The sequence below is a fragment of the Homo sapiens genome, chromosome 6, assembly GCF_000001405.40.
Source record: "Homo sapiens chromosome 6, GRCh38.p14 Primary Assembly".
Lineage (NCBI taxonomy): Eukaryota > Metazoa > Chordata > Mammalia > Primates > Hominidae > Homo > Homo sapiens.
Window position 1 is genome coordinate 130,944,116 of NC_000006.12, and position 13,059 is coordinate 130,957,174.

The window sequence follows — 13,059 nt, forward strand, 5'->3', positions numbered from 1 at the left end:
GCAGTCGCAATGATGAGGGTGGGTGGATTATATATATATACGTACATACACACACATACACACACACACACACACACACACACACACACACAAATGCCCAAATCTTTGTTTTCTAATTAGAGGGGATGGAGAGAAGACTTAGGAACATAAATAAACAAATGCTATCATTTATCTTGGATAGAAAGATAAAAACTTTATAAATGTACAAGAAAGTACAGGGAAATAAATCAAAATTACTTTCTATGAGAAGTATTTTAGGCAAAGTCCTCCGTTAAGACTCTATGGGGAGAGAGAAGAAAGTTATTTTTCCAGAGAAACTAATAATAAACCAGGTGAAGAAACAACATCAGCATGAGAAAAATCAAACAATACAAGAGTTTAGCAGTTGTTCAACACAGCAATACAAGAGAGTCTTTCACAAGGCAGTGCATGCTTAATTGCCAAACTAATGGTGCAAACAAGTTCCAAGGAAGAAAAGAACATTCTGAGAGCTGGATTTGAGTTGGAAACTAAGATAGGCAGGAATCATGTGATGGGGAAAGCAAAATGTGGAGTTGGTAGGGTCAGAAACTGGAAGGAAGGCCAGGCAACTCAGCATATGTCTGATTAGAGGACCAACTTGACACAAGGGAAGACTCAGAAAATCAAGTGGTAACAGAGGTCAAAAGATAGCCTGAGGTTATACGTGACCAAGAGTGGAGGAGGGAGGGGGGCCGAGGTCCAGCTAAGGAGTGACTTGATTATGAGGCCAGGCTCTGCTGCTGTGAGCTCCTTGTGTTCTTCAAGCTGGACCAAAATATTCTATCACTTACATGGCACGGCAGTCTTTTCCCATTTAGTAAATACAAATTAAGTTTTGAATAGAATTACCACCCTAAATCCTGTTTTAAGCTAAAAGGATAAAGACATGCCACCTTGACCAATGTCACTGGAATTTTAAATTGCACATAATACATGCCCATTAAATTATTCCTAGTTCCCAAAATGACATATAAATCTGCCACTATTTTTATGGAATCTTATAGAGTGCCATAACTTCCAGATCCTCTACAAATATGTAGATAGTTGAAACTGTTTAACTAGTAAACTTAGTAAGTGTCAGTACTATAGGTCTGAAATACCACCTTGGAGGGTGAAAAGAAACAACAATAAACAAACAAGCAAATAAAACACACTCAAAGTAATGATAGCAAATTGGATTTCCGAGACCCGAACTCAACACAAGAAAGGCAAAAAGACCTCGACACATTCTGCTCTCTGAGAAATACTTTTATCAACAGAACACTGATGAAGAGAGCCTACATTGTTAGCCTTATTCATAACTAAGAAAAAACGGTACTGACATTCCTGTGTAGGCAGAAACAATGCCCTTGATTCTCAGACAAAATCAACATGTGGGAACAACTTTGAGATGCCAGAGGAAAATGTGAGCAACTCTAACTCAGAATGCACATTCACTCAAGCTTCCAAAGTCTTGCAGGAACTTTCACACTTATTTGCAAACTTTAAAACACATATACCGACTTATCAGTTGTAGTAAAACCAGCTCAATTCTAGAAATGGAGGAAGCAAATATTTTCATTCTCTTTGCAATCTGAGAATAGAAGAGAGGAAGTGACTCCCCCAAGATACCCAAAGAGTAAAAAGAAAAGTAAACATAGATCGCCTGACTTTATATCCATGGCTTCAACTAAACCTTATTGTTTTTTTCCCCCGCTTAGAGGAAAGAGCTCTGCTGTTTTAACACACTGAGTATGTAAATGACCTTAGCAGCAACATCATAAAGAGTGCTAGAGTCAAGTCCCTGAAGTAAACATGCAGGATCCAAGAGACACCCAAAAATTCTCTACAATTTAACTCTGGAACCAAAGAAGGTTGGCACATACCATTTAAATATCTCAATGAGATAAAAACATTTCCAAAAAAATCAAGTTATAAAGTTTCTTCATTAAAAAATCTTCAAAGTTTTTTCGAAAAATTTTTGAGATCTCAGTTGACTATCAATAGATGATAAATTAGTATAGAATGTAAATTGTAATTATCAGTGACAACAATGAAACAGTACCTACCACAAAGATTTGGAACAAATGCACAAAGAGAGCCTAGGCCTCAGGTCAAAATTAACGCATGGCTTAGCAATAAACCTATTGTTACATAAGCCAAAAATAACATTAAAGTTGGGCCATTTCCATAGTATTTTTTTTAACTTAACTATAATCATCATTTAAAAATGCACTGTTACTCAATGTTTATGTTCATTTATTATTTCCAGCCTTGGGGAATCCAGAAAATTCTGTGTGGCATAAAAATTTTTTATCCACTTAATATTAGCAAATGCCCTCTTTCCTTAAAAGAACACAAATTTCAAAGATGGCGATTTGTTTTTAAAAACAGTACTGTATTGGTTCCTTGGACAGTTGTCTTTATCTAATTCCTGAAGTTTAGGAGATAAAGAATAGGTTGATAGCCCACAGGAAAAACAATGTGGAAACAGGAAGCCATAAAAAGTAGAGGATGAGGGGAGAAAGAAGGGATATGAACAGATACATGGGGATATAGACACATAAAATACATATAAATATATAACAACATGTTAATATAGATTATACAGAATATATTAATTATATAGAGTGAGTAAGCTAGGAAGCAGAGATGATGTTCAGATGTCAAACAAAAATGCCCCCATGAATTATGTTTTTTGATTTTAAAAAAATTATTCCATTGATATAGCAATATTCACATTAAATGGTTTAAAGGGGGTACTTTTGTTGACCAAAGGTACTGATAGGTAACAAGAACAGGAAAGTGCCTAACATACCCAATGTTCTAATCGCATCACAAAAAAAAATTATCTATAGAGACCACTGATGTGCATCATAAGCAATGCACTGAATAAAGAAGACCCCCCCCCCAGCCCCTTAAATTACTGCAGCCATATAGCTAGCTACAATGTTCCAAAATCTAAACAGCGCCCTTGACTTTGCTAGGTCCTGTATACCAATGACTTTACAACCTCTGGTCCATTACTAAGCAGCTCCTTTTTGCTATGGATCAGTTTTAATCTTCTCATCCTGGCATTTGAGGCCTTTTAGAACCTCACCCTACTCTCTATAAGATCCCTGTAAGCCAAGCTATCACCTCATGACTTCCTGCACAGCCCATGCTTTGAGTGGCTTCTCTCCATTGTTGTAAACACCCTAAGTGAAGACAATTAGGTCTTCTTCAGTGGGCATGTTATATCAAGGTTTAATTGAAAATTAGACACATGTACATATAGAAAGAAAAAGAACAAACAATAACTACAGTCCTCTGAAGAGCCATAAAGAAATACAATATTTGCTGAGAGTAAACAGATGGAAACAAATCTATTCTCTCAAACCAAATACAAGTATTTCTTTCCCATATTCTATTCTCCTTCCTTGAGTGCTCAAAAGTTCATTAATAGCTACAGTTTCCCATATCTACTTCCCCAAATAGTCCTCAGACGGTGATTTCCGGTGTAGAGATACAGAACCACCGATAAGCAGCATCAGCATATCATCCAATCTGCCTAAGGTCAACACTGGAATTGGGAAACATTAGCCTGCTCAACCCCATGATGGCTGTACTCTGGGCTCCACTCCTGAGGAGGAAACAAGAACAGGTCTGATGAGTAACAGACCCAAACTAATGATACTAAGCAAGCAACGGGAAAATCAAAATAAGAGGAAAACTTGTATAAAAGGAAAATGCAATAAAATGGGGAATATAATTTATAACTTCTGCATTGTTATAATAGCTATTAGGATATTGATGAATTATGGCCTATGTTGAGATGTAAAGTCACAGCTTAGAATTCAAGTGAACTGCTGGTACATAAGATCTGCTGTGGGATAGCATCACTAAAATCTATTCAAACTCCATTTTGCTATGAACTCAAAAGAAAAAGAAAGGATTACTCAACACAAATGCTGTTTTTAAGCTTATTTCATCATGTCTTGTCCTCCAAAGTTCATTCTTATAATGGCAATATTAAGTAATCATCTATTAAATGAAAAGATACTCTAACTATAAATTAATACAGTCATAAAAATGAAGACTCCTATGCTTTCCCAATTTAAATCTTGGTGAATTAGAAGACTAAACTGCTGCTTTTCGCTTTGGATACTATCTCAACTCTGCTTCAGGCAACACAGTAAGTTGATTCCCTACAGGTAGTAGATCATAGAAGGACTAGTTACACAGATAAGAAATTGTTGTTTTTGTATCATTCCAAAACGAGATCCGAGATCTACGAAATGCATACTAAATAAGATGGGGAAAGAGGCGAGTAGGCATAGTGATTAGCATTAGACTTTATTAACTCAAGTGTGTCTGTAATATACTTAATTTCTAAAAGAGCAGCAGTAAAAGGGAAAAAAGCAAATTCAAGTAAACGAAGAAAAATAGACAATCCAAAATTAAATGGCAAAATAGAGTCACTAATCTCAGTAGTACTAAAAATAAATGGTCTAAATTTACCAGTTTAAAGACAGAATTCTCAAATGTGATTAAAAAGTCATCTCAAAGACATAAGGATACAATGTTTAAACGCAAAAAAAAGGTCAGGAGATAAAAGGCAGAAGAGAGTCATGAGAAATTCTAACTAAAATAAAGCTAGTACAATAACATAAATATCAAATAAAATAAATTTCAAGGTATTATATGATGGTAAAAAAAGAAAGGGCTATCCACGAATATATAATTCTGCACATGTGTGCATCTAACAATCTAGCCTCAAATTTTGTAAAGCATAAACTTACAGGAATACCAAGAGAAATTATCAAATCAACAATTACAAGGAAAGGTTTGAACACACCTCTCTTATTAACTGATAAACTAAGCAGTTAAACAATTAATAGAGATAGATAACATGACCCACATAATTGTCTGACCAAGTGGACAGACCTAGAAACCGGTATCAACAATAAGAAGATCATGCTTTCCAAATTCAAAAAGAACCCTTATAAAAATTGACTATATATTTCAAAGTCTTAATAAATTTAAGAATCTCTATTATTTAGACCACATTCTGACCACGCTGTAACATAAAACTGGAAATATGAACAAACAAAAAAATTCTCTCTTCCCACAAAACATGCATACATAAACACAAATGCACACACTTTTGGAAATTTTAAATCACACCTATAAAAAATCCAGTGGTCAAAAATGATACATAATGGGGCCAGAGACAGTGGCTCATGCCTGTAATCCCAGCACCTTGGGAGGCCAAGGAGGGAGAATTGCTTGAGCCCAGTAATTGAGACCTACCTGGGCAACAAAGCAAGACTTCATCTCTATAAAAGGAATTTAAAGATAAGCTAGGCATGGTGGCATATATCTGTAGCCCCATATATTCTGGAGGCTGAGGCAAGAAGAGGGACTGCCACTGCACTCCAGTCTGGGCAACAGAGAGAGATCCTGTTGAAAAAAGAAGAAAAGGGACAGGGAAGGGAAGAGGAGGGAAGAGGAGGGGAGGGGAGGAGAGTGGAGGAGAGGGGAGACCCAAATGGGATAGGACGAGAAAATTAAAACTGAATGGTAATGAAAGCACTATATAGTTGACTCTTGAACAACACAGGTCTGAACTGCATGGATCCACTTACACCTAGATTTTCTTCCACCAAGAAACAGACAGCAAGACCAGTCCCTCCTCTTCCTCCTCCTCTTCCTCAGGCAATATGAAGACAATTAGAATGGAGACCTTAATGATAATCCACTTCCACTTAATGAATAGTAAATATATTTTCTCTCCTTCTTATTTTTTAAGAACATCTTTTCTCTACCTTATTGTTAAGAATACAGTATATAATACAACACACAAAATTGTGTTGACTGTTTACGTTATTGGAAAGGCTCCAGGCAACAGGAGACTGATTATTAGTAGTTACATGTGGGGGCAGTCAAGAGTTATATGTAAAATTTCAACTGTGCAGAAGGCTGGTACCCCTAACTCCCTCCTTGTTCAAGGGTCAACTGTATTTCAAATTTGTACAATCAATCAGAGGTACTTCAAGGGAAAATTAGAGCTATGAAAGCAATGTTTTAAGTGTTAAGAAATTAGAAAAAGCACAGTTATCCCAAAGAAAAAGAGCAAAACGAGATGAAATGTTACAAAATAGAGAAGATACAATAGAAATGATAAAACCAAGTTGTTTCCTTTGGGAAAAAATATATAATGGTAAATCTATAGTAAGAATAATTTTAAAAAGGCAAACGACACTAGAAATAAGAAATAAAAATCAAATGCACAAAACAAGAATATTATGAAAACCTTCATGCCAATAAATTTGTCAAATTAGATGAAATGGACAATCTCTACCAAAAATATTAATTGCTGTAACTAACTCGGGAAAAAAAAATTTAAAAATTTGAATCAACGATTTAAAAAAAACAAAAACTACCTTCCACTTCCACTCTTCTCCCAAAAAGGCTACCATCCAAGACAGTTTTAAAGTCAAGTTCTACCAGATCACCAAAAATAGACCAACAGTAATTTATCCAAGGCTTTTCTAGGTAATGGTAAAAGGGAAGCAACTTTATGAGGATAGAATACAACCCAGATAACAAAATCTGAGGAAGACAATTCGATAAAAGAAAATTAAAGGCAATATATGCAAAAGTCCTAAATAAAAATAATACAAAATGAATGCAGAATCATCACTACCAAGTTTACATTAGAAATTCAGATGGTTTAACAGTAGAAAATAATGTAGATTACAACATTAGCGGGTTAGAAAAATACATGATCCTCTTAGTTGATGCAAAAAATACATTTGATAAAATTCACCACCTACTCATGAGTAAGTCTAGAAACTAGGGGAGAAAGTCCTTAATCTGAGAAATAATATTTATTTTTAAAAATTTCAGAGTGATCATATAAACCTAAATAAAACATAAAAAGATGGTGAGGAGTTTGAGACCAGCCTGGCCAATGTGGTGAAACCCCGTCTCTACCAAAAATACAAAAATTAGCCAGGCATGGTGGCATGCATCTGTAATCCCAGCTACTTGGGAGGCTGAGGCAGGAAAATTGCTTGAACCCAGGAGGTGGAGGTTTCAGTGAGCCAAGATCATGCCACTGCACTCCAGCTTGGGTGACAGAGCAACTGTCTCCAAAAAAAAAGGAGGGGGAGGGGGGGAGGGGAGGAGAAAAAAGATGCTCAGCCTCAGTACTTTTTTTTTTTTTTTTTTTTTTTTTTTTTGAGACAAAAGTCTCACTCTGTCGCCCAGGCTGAAGTACAGTGGCGCAACCTTGGCTCACTGCAACCTCTGCCCCATGGAGTCAAGTGATTCTCCTGCCTCAGTCTCCCCAGTAGCTGGGATTATAGGCACTCACCACCACGCCCGGCTAAAATTTTTGTATTTTTGGTAAAGATGGAGTTTCATCATGTTGGTCAGGTTGGTCTCGAGCCCCTGACCTCAGGTCCGCCTGCCTCAGCCTCCCAAAGTGCTAGGATTACAGGCATGACCCACTGTGCCCGGCCAGCCTCATTAATTTTAATGGCAAAAACTGCAATTACTTTTGCACCAGCCTAATATAAGCTGTAGTACTGTTTTCATGGTTTTGAGTATCCTTCCCATGAGAGGATCATACTTGCCCACTATACTGTTATCAGCCTTGGCCATGAGACTTAATTGGCCAATGAAATGTGAGTTAAAGTAATATATACCACTTCCAAGCAGAAGATTCAAGAACTGTAGTATGGTTCTACCATGTTTTCTCTTCCCTTTATCATGAAACCAGCATATCCCAGGTAGAGGCTATTCTTTCAGTCTTGATCAGAAATAAAGATGGTGTGGAAAAGAGCCATAACAAACCCACCAAGCACATGTAACATGAGCAAGAAATAAACCATTTTTATTAAAAGTCGTGAAGATTTGCAGATTTTTTGGCTACTGCAACATAACCTAGTGAAAGCTGACAGTGATCAAACAAATGCAAGTTAAAATACTGAGAAGGTATTTCACATACATTTGATTGGTCCAAATTAATAAGTCTGGTAACAAGAATCACCGATGACAATGTGGCAAAATCAAACTTAATGGTTGCTGGTTGAAATGTAAATGGTCAATTTTATCAATTTCATTTATTATTTTGGCAATATCTGGGGAAACTGAAGAAGTAAAACTGGATTCCATCAATCTAGCAATTCCGCCACTAGGTATCTACCCTGAAGAAACTCTTACACAAGGAAACATGTCTTAAAATGTTCACTAAAGAACTATTTCTTATAGTATACAAAGAAACTGTGACTCAGGAGGGGAATAAACTAGTTTAGTCAAAGAAATACTATACAACAGTCTAAATGAATAGATTTATATATCACAAAAAGATACATGCAGGACAAGAAGGAAAAGATGAGAATGAGACTTTGGCAATGTCTTAAATGTTCTATTTTGTTAAAGATCTAAAACACTGTAATCCCAGCACTTGGGAGGCCAAGGTGGGCGGATCACGAGGTCAGGTGATCGAGACCATCCTGGCCATGGTGGAACCCCGTCTCTACTAAAAATACAAAAATTAGCTGGGTGTGGTGGCTCATGCCTGTAATCCCAGCTACACAGGACGCTGAGGCAGAAGAATCGCTTGAACCAGAAAGTCAGAGGATGCAGTGAGCCGAGATCGTGCCACTGCACTCCAGCCTGGGCCACAGAGCAAGACTCCATCTCAAAAAAAAAAAATCTAAAACACATGGCAAAATGGTAACAAATGATAGAAATTTTTGTGCTGGATACACAACTGTCTCCTCTATTATTTTTATATTTTTGTATTTTTAAAATATTTTATGATTTTTTTTAAAAAAGAGAACAAAGATAGATTTAAACCATAAAGTACGTTGGTCAGTCTTGTGGTTTAGTGATATAAAGAACTTCAGAAATAAAAGGGCATTCTAGATGATCTAAATAATTCTATATTCTACAGATGAAGAAACTGAGGTCTACAGAGGTTGAGCAAATGACTTAAGGTCACATTAACATCAAGTTGGTTCTCAAAAATCTACATCCCCTAATTTCTAGGATAGGTAGGAAAGACAAGGGACATGCAATCAAATATAATGTAATCAAGTTCAAAAAACCATTCTGTCCCTTTCTTTATGGTCTCTTACTCCTATCCCTAAGACCTCTCCTCTCTCCCTGGGATAGAAAGGGAGTCTCAGGAAAGGGCAAACAAAGTGTTAAAAAGAGCAGGAGAAGAAAAGAAAGCTTTAAGGACTGCCATGGTCTCAATGCTTCCCTCCAAAATTCACGCTGAAACCTAATCCCTATGGTGGTGGCATTAAGAGGTGGTGTCTTACGTGTTCTCACTCACAGGTGGGAATTGAACAATGAGAACACTTGGACACAGGAAGGGGAACATCACACACTGGGGCCTATCATGGGGTGCGCAGATGGGGGAGGGATAGCATTAGGAGATATACTTAATTTAAATGATGAGTTAATGGGTGCAGCACACCAACACGGCGCATGTATACATATGTAACAAACCTGCACATTGTGCACATGTACCCTAGAACTTAAAGTATTAAAAAAAAAACAAAAAAGAGGTGGCGTCTTTAGGAAATGACTTAATCACTCTGCCTTCATGACTGGGATTAGTGCCCCTGTAACTGAGGTTGAAGGGAGCTGCCTTGTCCTTCCATCAGGTGAGGACACAGCACTTGGCCTTTCCACCATGTGAAGATCCAGAAAGGAGGGGCCATCCTGGAAGCAGAGATCAAGCCCCTCACCAGACACCAAATTTTCTGGTGCCTTGATCTGGGACTTCCTAGCCTCCAGAGCTGTGGGCAATAAATTCATGTTGTTTTTAAATTACCCAGTTGACGGTATTTTGTTACAACAGCAAAAACTAAGACAACTAAGACAAGGATTTTTAATCCTCTTTTGCTAGTCCTTTTCTTTCTTTTTTTTTTTTTTTTTTTTTTTTTTTTTTGAGACGGAGTCTCGCTCTGTCGCCCAGGCTGGAGTGCAGTGGCGCAATCTCAGCTCACCACAAGCTCCGCCTCCCGGGTTCACGCCATTCTCCTGCCTCAGCCTCCCCAGTAGCTGGGAATACTGGCGCCCGCCACTACGCCTGGCTAATTTTTTTGTATTTTTAGTAGAGACAGGGTTTCACCATGTTAGCCAGGATGGTCTGGATCTCCTGACCTCGTGATCCGCCCGCCTTGGCCTCCCAAAGTGCTGGGATTACAGGCTTGAGCCACCGCACCCAGCCCTAAAACTTTGGGCAAGGAATTTAACTTCTCTAAGCCCTAAGTTCCCCGTTGTAACATGTAACACTGAAAATAGCAATGATAATATCTACCTTTATTGATTCTTAATCAATAAAACAAGATAATCCATTAAACAAGATAATCCATTCAAAGCACTTCACACAGTTCTTCAGCAAACATTAGCTATTAGTATACGTTACGTAAATAATTTGTGGAAAGCAACAAACTCTTCTGATTGACATAAAATTATAAGGTACTAGATGCGTTAAAAGATTAAAGTGACTTCTGTCAGCACCAGCGCTAATGAACTGTATGTTTTGCAAATCATAGATGTTTTTTAATTAAATGAAAGTAAATAAATTAGATGTTAAGCCAGTATCTGTCTCAGGATAAAACACTTGGGGCTAAGTTTACTGCTGAAACTTCTTTATTCTGAAATGTCAGCCTAGTGCTATCATTTTTCCTCAAGAAAAACATCTTCTAGCCAAAAGCAATATTCCAAATATTTAACACCCAGTCATTAACACACGAACCAGTAAACACGGCTAGTGCAGACTGGCAGAATAGCATCCCTGCTTATCCCAAGGTCATGAAATATTTGTGACAGAAATGATGACCCACTTCAATGTATTTTTTTTAGTGCAAAACTGTAATCAACTGGCTTACAGGAACTTAATAAAACACAAAAATCTATTCATCATGCCATGCCACAATCCACATATCAAGCTAGCTCTCACTCAGCTCCCTATCTCACCTCCAGGTCACAGCTGTATTCGGTGCCATCTAAGAGGGTCACTTTACACTGGACAGTTTTGGTCTTCTTGGTGACTTTTTGAGATGCCTTCTCTGCTTTCAGCTCATTGGTCTGCACTTCCTTGGTCTCCCTTTTTGCTGCTCCTCCTTCTAATTTGTCTTCCTGTGTTTCTTTTACCTTCTCTTCTCTCTCCTTACTTACTAATTCAGTAGGCTGTTGAGGAAAAAAAAATAAATTCATACTATAGTCAACCACCTTGCAGATGACAACATACTAAAAGGAAAATCTTTCATAAGAATTAGGATCGTTACTTTAAACACTGTAACTTTCAGATTTTTAAAGACTTGAAAATTCCAATAGAAAGGATATTTCCCCTCATCCTCTTTTCATGGCCAAAATTCTCATTTTGCCAAGTTGGTTATTTGGCATTAAATGAATCAAAGAAACTACATCCCAGCAACTACAATTTAAGTATCATCTCAAATAATAACATTTCCAATTAAAATCTTATACCATGGCAAAACCTAGGCTTTGTTAGGCAACTAAAATGCGCACACACAAATCTACTACTTACTGTCCAGTGAAAACTTAAAGAGGCATAAAAGAGCATTCTGTTTAAAAAAGAGATGGCAGGGCTCGGAGTATCTACCTCACCTAAACAGGTTACAGACATGAATTTTTTAGTAATTGGTATATATAGGGGACTTTTTTTTCAAGGAGTAACAGGGAAAGGCTATGGTAGACCAATCTAAGACCCATTCCGTATACATTAAGCTAAAGCAGTATCTCAGTACAAGAAATCTGGAAATGATCCAAAACAAACAAACCCTTTTTATTATGTGGTTACGCTATCAGGTTTTCATTTCCAGGCAATTATTCCCAAACATACCTGCATCTCCACTTTGCTCACTGAGGGTTTTTCTTCCTTGCTCACTGAGGGTTTTTCTTCCTTGACTTCAACTTTAATCTCTTGTTTCTTCTGAGCCATTTCTTCAGCATCACCCTTAGCCTGTCTCTGTTCTTCTGGAAGGGGTTCCTCTTTATCTAAGACCTGTTCTTCAACAACAGCTTGGGTAGGCTCTTTTTTATCTCCTCCATCTTTGGCCACTACTAAGGTATATGACTTTTGCTTCTTAAGCCATGGCGGTATGAACCGAGAAATACCCCTGCTCTCCGATGTTTCCTTCTCTCTCTTCTGGCGGCGTAGACTACTTTGGCTTTCAGCTGCAGGAGGTGGCTGGGAACCTTTTTCCTCCTCTGGATCGGAAGACTGATTCTGCTGATTTTCTGCTACTTCTTTAGGTTTTTCCTTGGTTGCATCTGTTCCTAACTGGCTAGAGTCCTTCTTCACTTCAGACACAGAGCCTACTTCAGTAGTCATGGCCACAGCTTATGCTGTAATCAAAACAAAAATCATAAAATGTCATTTTGTAAGTTCTCTCAAATTTAGTTTGGTTGCGAGGGGCATGGTAAGGAAAGATGAGAAGAAGAGTAACAGATGACAGGGAGAAAGCACATCAAGAAAGAAGATTCAAAAGCACAAGACAAAATGGAGACTGTTGCTCGAACTTTTAGAATTCTCTATCAGCATCACAGACCCAAAACTAGCATCACAATAGAACTCTGTGTGTTCTGAGTTCCATATAGCTAGAACTTAAAATCATCAAGAACTCAAGAAACAGGGATTACTTTTATTTGGTTTCAACTTGTTATAAACAATAATTGATATCTAAAATCCAAGTTTTTTAAGAAAAATTACTTTTATCTGTACTTGGTATTCTTTATTCTGTAACAGGAAGATGTTATCAACAGTGCTAGAAAGCAATGAGACACATTTCACTACAATTTCATACATTAAACCCAAAATCTATCAAAATGTTAGGTATTAGAAAAAACAGTTTTAAGTGTATGGTGTGTAACAGCCAAGAAGGTAAAATAACAAAAATGTATTATTCTGTGTTCCAATATTAAATCCCGTAATTCACCATCACTGTTCCAATGCAAAAGTTAATCTTGGAAAAGGTACTCAAATTCTAATCAAAACTCCGAACCTCCATCCCACCCAACCAT

General features: G+C 37.4%; 1 protein-coding gene across 23 annotated transcripts in view; it reads right to left on the reverse strand.

Moving 5' to 3' along the window:
• The window catches only part of EPB41L2 (erythrocyte membrane protein band 4.1 like 2), a 223,899-nt gene that overhangs the window by 104,769 nt on the left and 106,071 nt on the right, over positions 1-13,059 (reverse strand). For 21 of the 23 annotated variants that reach the window (NM_001135554.2, NM_001350314.2, NM_001350311.2 and 18 more), the window contains exons 2-3: positions 11,879-12,384; positions 10,990-11,202 (exon numbers count right to left, since the gene is read on the reverse strand). The exons of the other annotated variants lie outside the window; for them this stretch is intronic. In NM_001135554.2, coding sequence (NP_001129026.1) covers positions 10,990-11,202; positions 11,879-12,370 — 705 coding nt within the window. In that variant the 5' untranslated portion in view covers positions 12,371-12,384. The remainder of the gene's footprint in view (positions 1-10,989; positions 11,203-11,878; positions 12,385-13,059) is intronic. 23 annotated transcript variants of the gene reach the window in all.